At 35.4% G+C, this 20,431-nt stretch overlaps 1 protein-coding gene across 19 annotated transcripts in view; it reads left to right on the plus strand.

The window, feature by feature from the left end:
* Positions 1-20,431, plus strand: part of FOCAD (focadhesin) — a 340,326-nt gene that overhangs the window by 238,133 nt on the left and 81,762 nt on the right. For all 19 annotated transcript variants that reach the window (XM_047423537.1, XM_047423539.1, NM_017794.5 and 16 more), the window contains 2 exons: positions 13,393-13,485; positions 19,109-19,197. In XM_047423537.1, the coding sequence (XP_047279493.1) occupies positions 13,393-13,485; positions 19,109-19,197 (182 nt within the window). The remainder of the gene's footprint in view (positions 1-13,392; positions 13,486-19,108; positions 19,198-20,431) is intronic.

Genomic DNA, 20,431 nt, shown 5'->3' on the forward strand with positions numbered 1-20,431 from the left:
GCATTCCCATACAACTCCCTGCTCACTCTGCCCTCATGCCTACCTCTCATCTTCCCATTATCCCCCACCAGAGTGGTATATTTGTTACAAATAATGAACCTACATTGACACATTCTTGTTACCCAAAGTCTATAGTTTATATTAGGGTTTATTCTTGGTGTTAAACATTCTATGGGTTTGAACAAATGCATAGTGGCATGCATATAATCATATAATCATTTTAGTATCATACACAGTAGTTTTGCTTTCTAAAACCCTTCTGCAATCTCCCATTCATCCCTTCCTTCTCTCTAACTCCGTGTGACCACTGATCTTTTTACTGTCTCTATAGTTTTGCCTTTTCCAGAATGTCAAGTAGTTGGAATCATACGGTATATAGATTTTTCAGACTGGCTGATTTCACTTAGTATTAGGCATTTGTTTTCTGCATGTATTTTCGTTGCTTGACAGCTGACTTCTTTTTAGTGTTGAATAAAAATCCATTGTCTAGAAATACTACAGTTGATGTATCCATTTACCTACAGAAGGATATTTTGGTTGCTTCCAAGTTTTAGCAAATATGTATAAAACTACTTTAAACATCTTTGTGCAGAATTTTGTTTGAAGATAATTTTCAACTCTCGGGTAAATGCCAAGGAGCACACTTGCTGGATTGTATGGTAAGAGTGTGTTTGGTTTTGGTAAAAAATGGCCAAAACATCTTCCAAAGTGGCTATACCATTTCGCATCTCCTTCCTCTTGCTCCAAAGCCTTGTCAGCAATTGGTGTTGTGGTCTGGATTTTGGCCATTCTCATTGGTGTGTAGAATAACATTTCATTGTTATTTTAATTCGCATATCCCTGATATGTGAAGCATTTTGTATATGCTTATTTTTTATCTGTGTGTCTATTTCTTTGGCCCATTTTAAAATCTGGTTGTTAGGTTTTTCATAGTTGAGTTTTAAGACTTTTTTCGTATATTTTGGATAATAGTCCTTTATCAGATCTGCCTTTTGCAAATATTTTCTTAGAGTCTATGGCTTATCTATTCTCTTGACAGTGCCTTTTGTAGATCAGAAGATTTTTATTTTAATGAAGTCCAGCATATCCATTGTTTATTTAATACATAGTGCCTTTGATATTGTTTCTGAAAAGCTGTCATCAAGCCTAACATTATAGATATTATCCTGTGTTATCTTCTAGGAATGTTACAGTACTGTGTTTTACGTTGATATCTATAATCTATTTTGAGTTAATTTTTATGAAGAGTGTAAAGTCAGGGTCTAGATTCTTTTTATTTTGCATCAAGATATCTGGTTGTTTCTGTATCATTTGTTGAGAAGATTATCCTTTCTCCATTGTTTGACTCATTCTCAAATATTAACGGACTACATTTATATACGTCTGTTTCTGGACTTTCTATTCTGTTTCTTTGATCTATTTCTCTCGTCATTTGCTCATACCATGCTGTCTTGATTACTGTAGCTCTATAGTAAGTCTTGGAGTTAGGTATGTCAGTCCTCCAACTTTGCTCTTCTTCAGTATTTTGTTGGCTCTTCTTTGTCCTTTGTCTCTTCATATGAACATTTGAATCAATTTGTTGTTATCCAGGAAGCAACTTGGTGAGATTTTGAGTGTGATTGCATTGAATGTATAGATGAAGTTAGGAAGAACTGACATCCTGACAATATTGAGCTTTCAAAAATCCATGAACCTGGAATATTTCTCTATTTATTTCATTCATTATTGATTTCTTTCATTAGAATTTTGTAATTTTTCTCCTATAGATATTATATACACACACATATATATATGTCTGCGCATATATATGTGTATATATATAGATATATTTATTTATGTAGGTTTATACATAAGTATTTCATTTCTGGAGGTGTTAATGTAAACGCTATTGTGTTTTTAATTTCAGCTTCTATTTTTTTCATTGCTGTCATATAGGAAAGCAATTGATTTTTGTATTGTAACCTTGTATCTTGCAATTTTGCTATAAGTGCTTATGGGTTCCAGGAGTTTTTTGTCAACTTTTTCAGATTTTCTATATAGACACTCATGTCATCTGCAAGCAAAGACAATTTTCTTTCTTTCTTCCCTTCAGCATACATTTTACTTTCTCTTTTTGGCTTACATCAGTAGAAAGGATTTCCAGTATGATGTTGAAAAAGAATAGTGAGAGAGGACATCCTTGCCTTGCTCCTGATCTTAGTGGGAATGCTTGTAGTTTCTCAAAATTATGATGTTAACGGTGGGTGTTTTGTAGATATTCTTATCAAGTTGAGGAAGTTCTTTATTTCTAGTTTACTGAGAGTTTTTATCATGAAAAACTGTTCGATTTTGTCAAATGCTTTTTCTGCATCTATTGATATGATTATGTGATTTTTCTTCTTTACCCTGTTGATATGTGGGAATAAACATTAATTGATTTTCTAATATTGATTTAGTCTTGTGTACCAAAATCCATGTGGTTGTGGTGTATAATTCTTTTTTACATTGTTAGATTTAATTTGCGTATATTTTGTTGAGGCCTTTTACATTTATGTTCATGAAAGATATTGCTGTGAGATTTCCTATTCTTGTTAATACCTTTGTCTAGTTTTAATTTTAGGGTAATGCTGACCTCATATAATGAGTTAGGAAGTATTCTCTCTGCTTCTGCCTTCTGAAAGAGACTGTTGGGAATTGGTGTGATATCCTCCTTAAATGTTTGGTAGAGTTCACCAGTGAACACATGTGGGAGTGGTGCTTTCTGTGTTGGAAGGTTATTAATTGTCAATTCAATTTCTTTAATAGATACAGGCCTATTCAAATAATATATCTTTTTTTCATGTGAGTTTTAGCAGATTGTGTCTTTCAGGGAATGAATTGGCCCATTTCATCTAGGTTATCAAATTTGTGGGCATAGAGTTATATATATTATTTCCTTATTATCCTTTCAGTGGCCAGAGAGTCTGTAGTGATATCCCGTCTTTCACTGCTGATGTTAATTTCTAAATTTGTTGAATTTGTTAAGGTCTGTGTTATGGTTCTTTTAAATTTGTTAAGGTGTGTTTTATGGTTCAGAATGTGGTCAGTATTGGTGAATGTTACATGTGAGCTTGAGAAGAATTTGTGTTCTGCTGCCGTTGCATAAAATAGCCTGTAGATGTCAGTTATATCCAGTTGATTGATGGTGTTTTTGAGTTCAACTGTGTCTTTACTGCTTTTCTGCTTGTTGGATCTGTCCATTTCTGAGAGAGAAGTGTTGAAGTCTCTGGCTATACGAGTGGATTAATCTGTTTCTTCTTGCAGTTCTATCAGGTTTTGCCTTATATATTTTGATGCTTTGTTATTAGGTGCATGCACTCTAAGGATTGTTATGTCTTCTTCGAGAATTGACCCATTTATTATATAATGTCCCTCTTTATTCTTGACAGCTTTCCTTGTTGTCAAGTCTGCTCTGTCTGAAATTAATATAGGTCTTCCTGCTTTCTTTTGATTAATGTTAGCATAGTGTCTTTCTCTATCCATTTACGTTTTATCTGTATGTGTCTTTACATTAAAGTAGATTTCTTGTAGACAACATGTAGTTGGGTCTTGGTTTTTGATCTACTTTGACAATCTTAATTTGCTTCCAAAATGATTATTGATATATTTTGATTAATATCTTCTATATTTGTTACTGTTTTTTTTTTCTGTTTGTTGCTCATGTTCTTTATTCTGCTTTTGTATTCTTTTTTTGTCCTTACGGTTTCAACTGAACATTTTGTATGATTTTTTCTCTTTTGTTAGCATATCAGTTATGTTTCTCTTTTTACTTTTTAAATGATTGCCACACAGTATGCAATATATATTTACAACTATGTCTACTTGCAAACAACACTATACCACTTCACAGGTAGTGCAAATACTTTATAATAACAAATAATCCTAATTTTTTTCTCTCATTCCTTGTATCATTGCTGTCATTCATTTCACTTATACATAAGCATATATAATCAAATACATGACTACTATTATTATTTTTAACAAGCTGTTATCTGTTAGATCAATTAAGAATAGGAAAATAAAAGTTTTATTTCATGTTCACTTATCCCTCCTCTGATGCCTTCCTTTCTTTATCTAGATCTGAGCTTCTGATCTCTATAATTTGCTTACTCCCTAAAAAAACTTTAAACATTTCCTGCAAGGGAAATGTACGGGTAACAGATTTTCTCAAATTTTGCTTGTCTGAGCAAGGCTTTATTTCTCCTTTATTTTTGAAGGATCATTTTGTGGGGTACAGAATTCTAGGTTGTAATTTTCCTCTCTCAGCACTTTATTTCACTCTCTTCTCTTCTTGCTTGCATGTTTTCTGGTAGAAAGATGGATATAACACTTATCTTTGCTTCTCTATATGTATGGTATCTTTCCCTCTGGCTTTTTTCAGAATTTAAAAAAATCATTGCTTTTATGTAGTTTAAATACAATATACAAATACCTATAGGTTTTTGGCATTTATCCTACCTGGTGTTGTCTGAGCCTCCTATAACTGTGGTTTGATGTCTGACATTAATTTGGGAGCATCTCAAGATGATTTCAAACATTTCTTCTGTTTTTTTTTTCTCGCTTATTTGTCTGGAATTCCTATTATGTGTATGTTATAACTTTTGTAGTTGTCCCACGGTTCTTAGATATTCTGTTTTCTTTGCTTTATTCTTTTTCCTCTTCGCTTTTTAGTTTTAGAGGTTTCCATTGAGATATCCTCAAGATCAGAGATTATCTCCTCAGTTGTGTCCAGTCTGTTAATAAGCTCATTAAAAGCATTCTTCATTTCTGTTACCATGCTTTTCGTCTCTAGCATTTATTATTTTGGTTTTTATATCTCTCTGCTTACATTGTTAATTTGTTCTTGCATATTGTCTTTATTATCTTTTATGGCCTTTAGCACATTAGTCATGGTTACTTTAAATTCCCGGTCTGTTAATTCCAGCATCCCTGCTTATCCTTACTTGGTTCTGATATGTGCTCTGTCTCTTTAAGCTATGTATTTTACCTTTTAGTCTTCCTTGTAGTTGTCTCTTGATAACCAGACATAACATACTAGGTAAAAGGAAATAAAGTAAATAGGTCTTTAGTAATGTAGTGGTAAGGTGTTGGGGGAGTAGAGTCATTCCATAACCCTATAATTAGGTCTCAATCTCATAGTGAGCCTAGAACTTTCACAAGTGTTTCTCAGGATTTGGATTTTTTTCTCTTTTTTAATTCCTTAGGTGGGATAGGATGGCTAGAATGGGCTAGAGTTGTCTGTTTCCCTTCACCCACTTAGAAGGCTAGAGGATCTTGGAGATGGGTATTGCTTTCCCCCAGGCTGGTTAGGTGCTGATAAAACTCTTATTAGGTTAGGCTCTGTTAAATAGATTTTTTCTGATGGCAGACCTTGTTAAGAATAGAATGCTGTTATATTTCAAAGTGTTTTTCCCCTCTCCCTGCTGTGATCACAAGGTGAGTTTTTTCTGATATTCACTATGAGAACTGACTGAGCTTCTGGAGCTAAAACTCATAAAGGTGTGGGGACCCTCCCTATGCCTGGGTACACCTAGAGTTTTTAATTCTCAGACTTGTCCATTCTTAGCCTCCAGCCATTCATCAGCTATGATTCAGGTTTTCCTGCCCCAGCCCTAGTTACTGTGGTGGTTTCTGTCTGTGAGTTTCTGCTTTGATAAGCTGTGATTCTCTCTGTAGCTGCCTGTCTGTCTCTCCAACTTTGAGAGTAGCACTTTGCTCTGTGACCTGATTTTCTTTTACAGATCTCATAACAGTTGTTGGTTTTATAGTTTGTTCAGCTTTTTACTTGTTGTTAAGATGGAGTAGTGACTTCCAAGCTCCTTACAGGCTGGACTAGAAACCTTCGCTTTCCATATTTTGAAATGTATTTTGTTTTGTGTTCATTGTTGATACTTCTTGAGCTACATGGTTGCTAAACTAAGTAATTTTCAATGCTATGGAGAGCTAGCTGTTTAATGTAATCTGTGATAAATTTCCTTGGAAAGTATTATATCCTCTTATTTTCAAAAACTTTGGATTTTTTTTGTCTTTTCTTAAAGTGAAATTCTCCCCTGTTACTTTTAGAAGAATCATAGACCCAAGTTTGATTTGGGTTTGGCCTGACATACCAGGAGCAGTTCTGCAGAATGACAGTCTTGTTTGGACTTCTCCAAAACTGAAGTGGCCTCTCTCTCTGCTCCTCTGTACAGGGGACATGCAGTGGTCATTTCAGATGTGCTAGGGCTTCTCCAAGCTCAAGTGGCGTTCCTCTTTTGTTCTTATGTATACCTACTTCTCATCCTGAGGTTTACTTGACTCCTGTTGCAGAGGAAGCTGAAGGTGAATGATAGTTTCCTTCCCTGAAATTTGCTGCCAGTCTTGTTATCCTTGGCATTTCTAACTCTGACATGACACTCTCACCTAAATTGGCTGATGCTGATTTCTCCCTGGATGAGAATGGCAGTCTGGATTCATTACTTTCTCCTTTCTTGGGCACATGCAAATTTTCCTGTTCTTGCTGCTGCTACCCAACCATATTTCCGCCTCAGCATTAGGTAATGAGCTCTCTTTTCATTTTTATTTCAGAGAAAACTTATCCAGACCTATTGGCAGCTCTGTTCTAAATAAAATCTTTAGTTCTACATTCTTTCTTCTTTTTTTCAAGTGATAATCATTTGATTCTTTTTACCTAATAAATTAATTTTTTTCTGCCTCCTTTAAATTTTTTCCCTAGAAAAGTACATATGCTGTAACCAATCATTTAAAATATAAGAAGTGTATTTGCCTTTTTCTTTCAGTGTCATCTTTATTTTAAAAAACATATTTGATATGAAGTACAAGGAATAATGTTAGCATCTGTGCAATATGAAACAATTAGGTGAACATTGTGAATAATAATGGGGAGAAGTGGTATCTGTGCTTATTACACATTTCCCCTAGAAAATACTGTGAAAAGTATGGTTTGCTGTATTTTAGATACTCCATAATTACCATGTGGATGTGAGTTGTTATGGTAACTGGGTTTCTCCCCTTCTATTAAATAACAGAATAAATGGTTGCTTGAGATGTGACTGAATTGTCAGCTTAATTGTCAGCTTTCAAGCTAATGTTACCCTGATTGGAAACAGTGGAGAGGTAGGAGAGAAGGAGGGAAAGAGGGAAGGAAGGAGAAAAGGTTGGGGAGAGAATGTTAAATTTCCAGAAAACACCTAGGAAGAGATGAGTGTCATTTTACTTTAAAAAGTGTCCTCCCTTCTCTTCTTCTCACTATCTGTCAGAGGACAGGTCTAACAAAAAATTATTTTGCCCCAACAAGATTACTGTTGATGGAATACTGAAGCCCATTATTTCTTGTATATAAACAATAGGATATTGAGTGGCTTTTGGGGTCTCTAATACCAGTTGCAAATGGTTTTTTTTTCTGGGAATGTGGAAACAATGTGTGTGTGTGTGTGTGTGTGTGTGTGTGTGTGTGTGTGTCTCATAAAGCTAAATGTAGTGGTTCAGTATGCATATGTGTGTCTGGGTAGCAGTTGAAGTTAAATACATTTATTTTGATAATAACATTTACATGTGGCAAACATGAAAAATGCCTTTGTAAGATTGGGGTTTTAAAATTAACAGCAAATACTTAGTTTACTTGTCAATTTTTACATGCTACTCTTCCAATCCCATTCTAGTTCGACAATCAAAGAATGCCATCAAAGTTTGTTACCTGATTTATAGTATTTAATGAAGGGCTGTTATAATGAGTATTTTCTTGTAGATGGAATAAGCATATTTGTTAAGATCACTCAAGAGGTGGAATGCAATAACAAATTTTTGAACAAAGTATTCTGAACTGTAAATTAACTAACTAGATGGATATGTAGTCCCTTGTAGTAAAACATGTATGAGGAAACATGATTACCTTTTCATTTTCTCTCCCATCATTCCCCTACAATTGCGAATTATGTTTCTAAGCAGAACATTTCCTGTTGTGATAGTATTTCAAATATACTTAATTAAAGCTTACATCATACAGATTTAAAAGTTTACAGAATTTCAATATATAAAAATTATAATATCTGCTTTAAAATTTTACTGTGTCATTCAATATGTTTTTATCTGGAATTAAACCTTTCCTGGCTAGAACATTTTAGACTTGCTTTTGTAAAATCTGCAAAACTGTCTTCTCAACAACTCTGTGCCTATTTAAAAAAAGTTTTAAATTTTGTGTTTCCAGAATGATCACAACTTGAACACCATAATTTTCTACAAATACTTGCTTATGATAGTATGATTTTCACACGATAGGAATTTGTCTTAAAGAGGATGCTACATATTTAGTTCTGTTAAACTCCGCAGGTCCTTAATTGAACACTTATGTGCAAGACACTGTTATGGGTACCATGGGAGGGATTCCAGCATGAATAGAACATGACCTCTGCTCCTTAGGATTGTATGAGATTAAGATCTAAAGACAGAATCTGTGGAGTGTTGTGGGAGAGGCACATATATACTGGAAGTATGGAGATGAGAAAAATTATTTCAGTAAGTAGAAATGAGAGGAAAATCGGTCATTCAAGGAAGAGGAAGCAGTGAGTGCAAAGGTCCTGTGAAGTATAAGACAAGCTTGGGAATCGGTTCGTAATTTGATGCAGCCAGAATGTAGGTTATATAAAAGAGAGGAGCAAGACATCAGGTGGAGAAATTGGTTAAAGGTCTTGGCCAGCAGTTATTTCTTAAGGTAATTCTAAAAGACTTTGAACATTATACAAAAGAGTTTGGGCTTTATTCTTTAATGAACCATCAAAGGTTTTGCAAAGTTCTGAGTTAATGTATTAACAGTAAGGGTAGCACCATTGGGGATGTGTTAGGACAAGGAAAGATTTTAAGCTGTTAAGAGATCAGTTACTAGATCATAGTAATCTAGGCAGGAATCAGATAGGACTAAACCAATAAAGGAAAAAGTTGGGACATATATATTAAATATTTCAGAAGTAGACTCAAGAATTGAGTCTCAAGGCAAGGGAGATTCCCAAGATAAATCAGAAATTTCAAACTTGGGTAACTGGAACATTGATAGATAATATTGATGGGAACAGGAAAGATAACAGGAAGAGTGGGTTTCGAATGATGATGACAAAGAAGTGTGCAAAGTCTAATAGATGGTGAGAGGTGAAAGTTTGAGAAGTACATGTTCTAAAACTTGTGATTTTTTTAAACTAGGTATTTTCAATTCTATTTTTATTTGGGTATAATATGAATACACTAGAGTTCTCACATTTTACTGTCTAGTTGTATGAATTTTGGCAAGTGCACACATTCCTCCAACCAGCACCACGGTCAAGATGAGAAGGTTCTACCACCCTCAAACATTTCCCCATGCTCCTTTCTAGTCAGGCCCTTTCCCCACCTCCATCTCCTAACAATCTCACATGACCAAGAGGGCTGAACTTCAGGCTCCTAGCCTCATCTTCACTTCATCTAGACAAATTTTACTTCGGTTTTCTGTCTTATATATTGGCATTTTACTTTATATTGAATTTGGGGTAGGGTAGAAAAATTACATAGTTAAATGTTTGAAAATCATCATTCTACTGTGTTACTGATAAAGCTCTGTCTGAGCTGCCTTTATCTCTTTCCTGGATTGTTGACGTCGCGTCTGAGTAGGTTTTCTTGTGTTGACCTTTGCTACCTACAGTCTATTGTCAACAGAGCAGTCAGTATTGTCCTTTTACAATATAAATTAGATCATGTAATTCTTTTTCTCAAAAGCTTATAATGGTTCTCTCTTTAGTAAGAATAAAAGCAAGTCCTGAACAGTGCCCTAGAAGGCCCTGAATTCTCTGGGTCCCCGTTAATTCACTAACTTTTTCTCTTTCTACTCTCTGTTTTGCTCATTTTGTCTATTGTAGTTAGACTGACCTCTTTTCTCTTTCTCAAACAGGTCAGTTGTATGCCTGCCCAGGACCTTTGCGTTACCATTTTTTAAAATTGAGGTGTCATTCACATAACATAAAACAAACCATTTTAAAGTGTGCAATTCACTGGCATTTAGTACATATACAATGTTGTACAACTATCACCTCTATTTGGAAATGTTAGTTCCAAAACATTTCAATCTCCTCCTTTCATGTACCCATGAAACAGCCACTTTCTATTCCCTCCTCGTTTCTTCCTGTCTTCCTTCCCCTCTCCCCCGGCAGCTACTAATCTACTTTCTGTCTCTATGGCTTTACCTATTCTGGATATTTCATATAAGTGACATCATATAACACGTGACCATTTGTGCCTGACTTCTTTCACTTTGGCATAATGTTTTCAAGGTTCAGCCATAGTGTATCAGTACTTCATTCTTTTTGTGACTGAATAATATTTCATTATATGCATATTACATATTTTATTCTTCTAGTTTTTCCGTTGATGGACATTTGGATTGTTTCTACCTTTTGGCTATTGTGAAAGTGCTGCTATGAACATCGATATACATGGATTTGTTTGAATACCTGTTTTCAGTTCTTTTGGGTATATACCTAGGTGTGGAATTGCTCAGTCATATGGTATTTCTATGTTTAGCTTTCTGAGGAACCACCATTAAGTGTTTTCCATACCAGCTGAACCATTTTTTATTCCCACTAGCACTTACTTTGGTCTTTACATCCTCACCTCCTCCAAGTTTTTGCCCATACTTTACCTTCTCTACAAGATCTACTCTAACCACCCTATTTAACCCTGTAACCTTCTCGCATCCCTGCCCTCACCTCATTAGCATTCTTCCCTCCCATGTATATACTCCTATTGTGGGCTCTTCTTTGGGCACATGTGTAGTATTTCATTATAATTCACTGCCTCTTACACATTGAAACTTGACTGTTAGTCTTCCCTAAGCCATAGGACTGTTCATCTCAATGCTCCATCAGATAGCTGTCATTGCAAGAGTATGAGTAGTTATAGAAAAAAATTTCACACATTCATTAAAACTGAGTGAGACAGTGGTTGAGAACCCTACTTTATCATCTGCTGAATAACTAGGTTGCAACTTCATGATTTGAACTTATTTTGTTGATTGGATTTTTTTCAAAGGCTTCTCACAAGTATAGCAAATTGGACATAATTGTCATACTTTATAAATGCTAATTGAATTTATTTTTCACCCTAGCAACATTAACCTAAAATATAGGCAATGTGGCTGACTATACAGTATATTAAATTGAAATAGCATTCTAAAATGTGTTTTTGTTAAAAATGGTCAGGGAAGTCCTTTTTGCTTGTGACACAATGGGAATGTAAGGGCATGACTTTCTTCAAGCTGTTTCTCTAAAGTCTGTCTTCATTAAGAGAAAAAGCAAGAAAGTGCATTTTTAAAGAGATTTGTGCACAGCTGACTCCATAGAACACTAAGTCTAGGGTATAATCCCATAAAACGTGGGGAGTTCAGGCTGGCTTCTAGGCTGAAGCTTTCTACTGTGCTCCTGTACCCACCTTCAGCTGTGGTTGAAGCAGCAGGAAGAGGATTAGCTTTAACCTTGAGTTTATAACCTCCTTTTAAATAGGTTTCCTGGCATGAATGTTTTCATGTTTAGAGGCTAAACATTTGATTTGCTCATTTTCATTTACATTTTTTCCATAATCCTTTCCTTTTTTAAACTCAAGTTTAAAAAGCATTTGTGAGACCATTGTCTTCCTTGCAAATTGCTCTTTTTGCCAATTTGCTGAGGCTAAGGGTATTCTCAGTAGTACAATGATATCTATGGATTATTCGGCAAAAATTTAAAAATATTTTAAGCTTGTAAAGTAAGAGATAAACATTTTGGTTGTGGTGATTGAGTATTGTTTCTGTTAAATCCAGCTGTCAAAATAGGGCTCGAAGATAATTAATATATTTTATGAAAAGGGAACAGAACTGATAGGAAAAAAGTTGAAGAAAATTGCCCACATTTTGGAAATAAAGAGCAGAGCCAAGACCTGATTAATGCCTTGCCAGCTGGAAATAGAGCCTAGGTTGTAGTTTGCCACCTGGATAACAGGAGAAGAAGCAAGAGCTGGAGGACTCATTCCTTCAAGGATTTATGTTGACTTATTGACAAGGCTGCCCTCACCCTGCTCGTTGTAGTACTTATTCAGGAAAAGTCCTGTCTTTATAATTACTTTTAAGTTCATTTCATGGCTGAGTATCTGTTTTATACTGTTTGAGATTTTTTTTTTTTTTAAAAACAGCAATGCCATGAGAAGTAATAGATAGCAGTAAGAATTAATCTCTTTGTTCTTTTTATTCCCATGGATTCTTCCTATTTGTGTCCATTTCTGGGTCTCTCACTAGGTGGAAAAGTCTCTGCAGACACAGACTGATTGATAATCTCATCTTTCCACAGTACCTTGTATATAGTAGGCCCTCACTAAGACTGGGATTAAAGAACATACTAGAGGCCATGGGAACCAACTATATTCAGAGAGGCTATTATCTTCTTATCTTCCCTATCACAAGGCACTTGAGAATATTAATTCTTATAATACAATAAAATGTCCTTAAACACTAGTTATCATGATTCTGGTGTAATTACATACAAATTTGTTTTCTCTCTCACTCTCTCTCTTTTTTTTTTGGTCTGTAGGACACAAAGTAAAGTTGTAGCTGTTTGACTTTCGATGTGTTACAGGAATCATGAAATGTGATGCACTGTGACTGTTTTTCTTGATTGATCTTTCTTTAACAGAAGCAGACCTTGGGAAGATTTGTTGCAAGATAGCCATGTACTAATAGGTAGAAACAGAAATGACTATGAGAACCAGATGTTTTGTCTGGGCCTCTGTTGAGAAACAGGGTTTGCATGTTGGTATATATAATTTGTCTCTTGTTTACCCACACTGATTAAAGGCCATTTATCTAGTGGTGTGCACAATTGCTGTGTGCAGTACTCATTTGCCTGCTCTTACCACTGTGGTTTCTACACAACATGATATTTCTGTTGGCAATATAAATTTATTACTTCAGAATGGTCATATTGGAAATCCAGGATATGAGCAATATTTATTTTTATTTAAAATTACTACGGGGGTTTGTTAGACAATGCCAAGTTTCCTGACATTGGCAAGAGGCCTTACAGAGTTTCCCCCTAATTTTCGAGGGTTGATTTGTATTACATGTACATTTTAACTTGTTATTATTGTAGGATTTTATTTGCTTCAATTTACAAAATTCTAGGCTTACTTTATTTTGTCTTCACAAGACTCTAAACTCTTCTCCTTAGGAATATCCAAAAGATATTATTTGTGGTTCTGATCCTAGACTGATTTGGTTTGTTTTCAGAATCTAAACCACTTAAGGAAAAGAAAGAACTGATGAAACAGTTTTAATTTTATTCTTTTTTAATACTGTGTAGCCTAATATGTTGTGGTACATTTTTCCCATAGGTTCATATCCAGCTTTCAGAGTGGCACCGTGCAATTTTTCTTCCACAGGCCTGGCTTGCATACATGAATCGAGCTTATCATGCCATTTTACAGGTAATGAAACCACAGGATAGGTTTGCTTTGGCGAAATGTCTCCTTATCTCATGTTTTGCTACAAATGTGTATTTAATATAAAAGCACTTGGGAAAATAGCACTACCAAAAATGTAATGGTTATTTTTACTCATAAAAGAATGTGAGGCATATATATATAGCATTGCTGCACTTAAACATCAATGCCCCCCAAATCCATGTGTCCCATCCAGAACTCCCTCTTGAGTGCCAGTCTCCTCCATCCTGCTGCCTTCTGGACATCCTCACTTGGCTGCCCCACAGCACCTGACTTGAGTGCATCCCAAACTGAGCTCATTGTCTTCCATTATACCTGTGCTTCCTCAAGCTGGACTTGCTTACATCTCCAGCCTGATCTCTTAAACCTTCCCCCATATTTTTATGTTTCAGTCTTGTTAAATTTCTTTGTTTTCCTAAACTCAGCATGTCTTCCCTAACCTCTTAGCTTTTAAACACACTATTCTTTCTGTCTCTGACCCTGCCACTCCCTCTTTACCCACCTAATTTTACTTGTTCTTTACCCACCTAATTTCTACTTGTTCTCTAGATCAATTTATCTGGTCAGGCACTATGTGCCTTACTTCTCTCCCCACTGGATTATATGCCCTTCTTGTATCTGAGCTTTCCTTTTTGAAGCCCTTATCATGTTAGTTATTTGGCGAGGACTTCCAGTTGTCTCTGTACTCCTAAGGACAGGAGCTCTGTTGTCTCTGGCCCTGACATAAGTGTCTAAACGTACTAGGTGCTCACTAAATGAATGAGATATACTCAATTTGAGTTTATTTGATCCAATAATATTATAAGTTATAGTTTGTGAATTTTTAAATTTAGAAATAATTTTAATCAGTTGGGGAATATACAGTTAACAATACAAGAAAACAACTAGCTTAATTGTTTTTCGTAGCTTAAAATTGATTATTAAGGATAATAGGAGAAATCCGATGTTACTGAAGTAATTTATGTCCCAGAGTAAGATTTCCGTGAAGGCTTAAAAGTGAGGTATTGTGGTTAGAGATAACAGCTGTCCTATAAAATGAGGTGGGCGGGGTGAGAGTGGGGCATAGGATGGGGTGAGAGGAATGACTGTCTGGGCAATGGTGTTCTAATCTCAAATTAAAACCTTTTTACAACCCATCTTACAGATCTTAGAACTCGTAAAACACTAATGTATCTTCAGAGATTCTGATATATTAGAAGTGAATAGGGGACCAGGAATCTCCATGTTTTACAAGCTGCCAGGTGATTTAAATCCACGTAGTCTACCAGCCAAACTTAGAGCAAACAGTTTTAGAAGATCCCCTAAATGTACTGTAATCTGCATTTTAAAGATGTTCCTTTGGAACCATCGTTTTCTTTTGCTTGTTGTTTCCTTACTCAATTTTTATCTTCAGCAGCATCTGGGCACCCAGCATGTTTTGGATAAATGCATGAGTGAATGAATGAATGACTCATGTCTCTATATTTCTTTAAGAGCCAATTACAGTTTTTAGTCAGGAAACATAAGATTGCAAGTCAGAGTATGTACTTTTTCTCACATTCATTTTTCCCTAAGCAATGTTGAATTTTTTCTTCACCAAACATTTATGTAACATGTTTTATTGGGGAGGTCCCATGCTAAGTGTGTGGGATACTGAGGGCACTCCTTCCTCACAATGAGCTCCCAGTCCACTGGGAGAGGCTAACATGCCCACTAGCAATTCCAGTACAGTATCTTTGATGCATTAATAAAGGATGTTCAAAATGCTATGGGCACCTGGAGAAAGGGATGAAGAGCTCCTCCTCCTGCAGAATGAACTAAGAATTCTATTTAGCTCTTAGTGTAAGAAAGGCTAAATTGAATAGGGTTATAGTATAATTCTGCAGATGACTTGCAATTGATTAAAAAAAGCCATGAATTTTTAAATAAGAGCTATGGTTTGTTGAGTAACTAGTGTGTGTCCAGTACTTAACATATATTATTTCAATTAATCTATACAGAAACCCTTTGAAGTAGATGTTATTAACCCCATGTATAATGGGATTATAGATGGGAAAGCAGGGTTAGCTAGGAAAGCAAAGCAAACAGCTCAGGAACCCAACAAGCACTAAATGAAAATACAGGAACTTAACCTGACTCCAGAGCCTTAGCGTTTTCCACTGTGACATGTATTTTCCCTAACACGGTTATTAATTGTTATAATGAATAATGCAAATTTGTTTAATATTTTAAAGGGCAAATCTATTTGATCTATGAAAAACCTGCAGATTATTCATAATTTTTAGCAATGCAGGTCAATTATTCTGCTATTAAGGTGATGGTTGGTATCTTTATTTATCATTTAAAATCCCTTTACTTTGTATTTCTAGTAAGTCCAGTTCCATTGAGAATTGGTGACAAAAGAAGAGAAAGTGAAAGGATGGATTAAAATAAGATTTGCAGTATTATTTAAAAATACAGCAGTGTGATTTAGGCTATCACTATTACTTGAAAGTACACTGATGCATTTATGCTTAAACAAGTTTTTTAAATGAGTCCACACGCTTAAATAGAGTTTATGGTATCTTAGAATAATTGGAGCAACTGCCAGACTCCTTGTCTATATCAAGAATTTCGGTCCTAGAAGACACTTTTTCTGTACAGGAATTACAGTTACTTCCATCTGGTGCTAGATGTATTTTTTAGCATTAAACTAGAGGATCATTTAGAGGTGCCATGTTTTATTCAATTAAGCCTAGGAAATGCACTAAAAGGTAGATTCTCCATTACTTCCTGGAGGCTAATTAGGATGTAAGTCTGAGATCTGAACACTACTTGTAGCTTCTGCTTAGACGTCTGCTTCAAGCCTTACCTAATTTTTCCATAGGAACTTGGGGTTTTTAACTATAAATATATCAAAGTGGTTGACATGGGGAGAGGTATTTAGATTTCTTCCCATTAAGATAAAAAATGCAGATAGAAGCCAACTGACAGTACAGAGGCCATTTTGGTTAGGAGCCGTCTGCAGTCTTTATCTTGTTACCCTTCTGGGATGCTGTGGAGGTTAAGGTCTCCAGCCTTTTTGAAAAGGGCTCTTTGGAATTGTGAATGTGACCTCAAACAGGAGAGAGGTATGAAAGCAAATTGACTGTAGACATTTTTCATGAATTGGCCAGCTAGTTGCCAAATAACCAGAAATCAGAGCCCAGATCAGGAACTGCAGCTTCCAGTAAGTTACTCTATGGCAATTTATACCTTTTTTGCTTTTTTTGTGTGTGTATCTTTGTTTTGTTTTAAATGTGTAGGAAGCTAGGTGAAATTGCTTACTATAATCAGCAAGTTCTTATGGTACAGGCTAAAGATTAAAAATCAGAGGGGATAGCTAGATTAATCATTGGAATCTACAGGCAATCCAAAAAAATCTCAATTCAGGTGATCACTTTAGCCATTTTGCTCCCAGTATGTGTTTTCCCAAAAATGTTAATCAGAAAGCAGAGATGACTGAGTTGAATGCTGCTGGATCTCTCTATTACCAGTAAGTCAAGAATTGGAAGGCGCCATGGATCTGAGTAAATAGCCCAACATAGATTGGGTGGCAGGGATTAATAAGGGAGACATTCCAGAAAAGAGGATAGAAAAGAACAGAGACTCAGAGAAAGAAAAAACATGAAAACTACTTAGTCACAATAGAATGGTCGTGCTGATTTGTGACTGCAGGGAAGATTAAAACGGTAGGCCTTCTTAAGAAGGTGCATGTATTCTAGTTTTCTTGTGTTTTGTTTATCTTTAAACGGATTTTTAAAATTTCTTGTTCCTTGTCTTTTTTGGAAAAGCATTATAGGAAATGTTTTAGGAGTAAGGAGGCATAATTTAAGAAGCATAACTGAGACAGGCAATAAAAATTGTTTTATACTTTGTTTTGCCTGGACTCCTGGGAGGCCAATATTAATATCTTGCTAATTTCCAAGAAACAAAGGGGAGAATGAAAGGGCCAGAATTCTATCTTTGAAAGTATGGAGAATGAGGATTGATATGATTGAAGCAAATGAACTATGAAGGATGTGAATACAGTGTCCGTTACATCTCAGAGTGCCTGAACTGGTGAGCCCCAGGGTATGGTGAGTCGGGAGTTGTGCTAAATACACAAACTCTGTAGATCGATAAATAGTCCTTGACCTCACAGGGTGAGCAACTTTGAGAAGTACAAGGACATATAACTTTATAGTCTGGATATTACATTTTTGGGACCTCTTACTCCATGAGATTATACAGATAAAAATATGAATTATTTCAGGAGATATTTAGATAAATTCATGAAAGACGGTTTTGTAAGAAAATAAGAGGGAGGTAGAGATCTTTGGTTATTGACAACAAATCTAATAACGGTAGCTATTATTTGTTATCAGGCACTATTTAATGTGATGCTTTAATACCACAAGATATTTGTTGGCCACTTTTTACAAATGAGGAAACTGAAGCTTAGAGAAGTGAAGTAACTTGCCTAAATTTACACAGCCAGTAGGTGTAAATGGCATTAGGCCGAGGCATTCTGAGCCCATGTCCTTAACTCTTCAATGTGTATCACTTTTCTAAGTATGGAGAGATACATACTTTTCTTCTATACACTATATCTTAGAACTTTAAAATCAATAAGAAAAAGACAGCTAGTAGAGAAATGGACAGAATAGAAAAATCCTGATAGTTAAGAAGATATGAAAAGATCCTCAATCTCACTAGTAAACAATGAAATAACATTAAAACCATAGTGAAGACCATTTCATATCCACCAAAATGGAAAAAATTAAAAGCCTGACAATTCCGAATGCTGGTGAGAATATGAAGTAACCAGAACTCTTGTTTACTGCTTGTGATATGTAAACTGGCACATCTACTTCTGATAATGGTTGGGCATTACACTGCTGAATTCTTGTCCAAGTTAGGGCCCATCAACAAACAGTATTTTAATTATAGATAATTTAGATAATGTAATTGGTGATGGAGTAGAGGGGGAAGCATCTGATTAAAATAATTCTGAGTAAAAAAATGGAAAAGATAATACATATTTAAAGGCCTTGGACTTAAAGGAACAATGTTAGCAATATTTTTTTTCACATGCTAGAATTTGGGAATTATGGTACCTATTTTTATAAGTTCACTCAAGAAATAGAAGTGTAATGTAGAGCTGTTGGAGAATAACTTATATTATATCTTACCGGAATCTTAAGTGTTACATACTTTAGCTTGTTTTCTAGTTTTCTATTATAATACTGGTGTATGGTCCCCAATCTTGGTATATTTTGGTGTTAGCTAAAATTATCAGTTGCTAACAAAGGCAGATCACTAGCAGGTAGATTTTTTAAATGGGGTCTCTGAAATTCAAATTTGATTCAGTAGGTATCTCAAAATTAAATTCTCTGCACTAAATTTGCCAAACATACAACTTCTCTAGGATGTTACCTCTTTGGTGAATGTAGAAATACCTGAGCATTGATGTGATGATTTCTCCTCACACATCCTCTTTCATAATCTAATGTCTTACCCAGAACACTTAAGGCCAAATGGAAAAGGATATATCTGTGTTTTCCAAAGAAATTTTAAGATCACTTCAGCCATCGAGTTCACATGCTGATTTATGCTGTGATTTTTGCAGGGAAGACTAGGAGAGCTGGAGTTGCAGTTAAAACATGGAAAAGAAGAACCTGAGGAGGTGCAGTACAAAAAAAGCACAGCCTGGCTCTGGTAAGTGTTCATGTTCAGCTGCCCATTATTTGTCATGGGAAGTGAGCTATGAGGGGAAAGGTAACTACTTTAAAGGCTTTAAGATTAGCAGGTTTAACCTCTATATGTGAGCCTGAAGGGGAAATGACAGAAGAGCTGATAGGTGTATTCCCTAGATAGGAGATAGAGAGCTTTATTTATAAATTATACATACACACACACACACACACACACACACACACACACACACACACACGTTCTAAAACAATGTGGAAACAGTTTGCTTTTTCCCTTTTCTACCTGTAACTGATTATTTTATATGCTTTTGAATGAAAAATTCTTTTTTTCCCACTCTGTTCATTGCTTTCCTACCTCACATGTAGTCAAGGATTACTTCTCCCCTCCTCTGCTCCCCTCTTCCCCAAGACATAATTATTAGGAGCAACTTTACCGTGTCATGGGTTTAATTTCTTTGGCAGACATTTCCCAGGGAATTCCCACTATATCATCTAGAAATATATTAGTGCTGGCTCATAAAAGCAACTTAAACTGTTTCATGGGTTGAGAAGAATACTCTATCAGATTTGTGTTTCACCAGCCTAAATGTAAGTAAAGTGCCTAAAGTCTAAATAGCTTTGCCTACAACCACAGGTTGCTTTAATCTAAAAATCTGTCCGAAGATTATTTAATTATAGGTTTTCATTTACTGACAGTTGGCTCATGTAGAAAAGGAGAAACTGTGTGTATGTATTTGATTAATTGTATTCTAAGTCATATTTTCTAGATTTATCAAAAAATGGCAATGAAGTTTAAAACATTATGATATTGGATTTAGGATTAGAGGGTTTTGTATCCTATTTGCTCTTATCTTTTGCATCTATTTTAAATTTAATCATCTGAAAGTGATAATTGGTGAAGTAGTATATTTGCTAAGTTCTTTAAAATATATAGAGAGACCTATCAATACATATTCCTAGTGAAAACTCATGGGCTGTGTATATATGAGTATAAAGGAGTTAGGTCCCTAGAAGTTTCTTAAGAATGATTTCGGCTGGATGTGGTGGTTCATGCCTGTAATCCCAGCACTTTGGGAGGCCAAGGCAGGTGGATCATTTGAGCCCAAGAGTTCAAGGCCAGCTTGGGCAACATGGCAAAACTCTGTCTTTCCAAAAAAAAAAAAAAGATACAGTTAAACCTGCAGTAACTAATAAGCTACCTTGAAGTGAGCTCTTCCTCATCCTCACTTAATTGGAAC

The sequence above is a fragment of the Homo sapiens genome, chromosome 9 (genome assembly GCF_000001405.40).
Source record: "Homo sapiens chromosome 9, GRCh38.p14 Primary Assembly".
In the NCBI taxonomy this organism is placed as follows: Eukaryota; Metazoa; Chordata; class Mammalia; order Primates; family Hominidae; genus Homo; species Homo sapiens.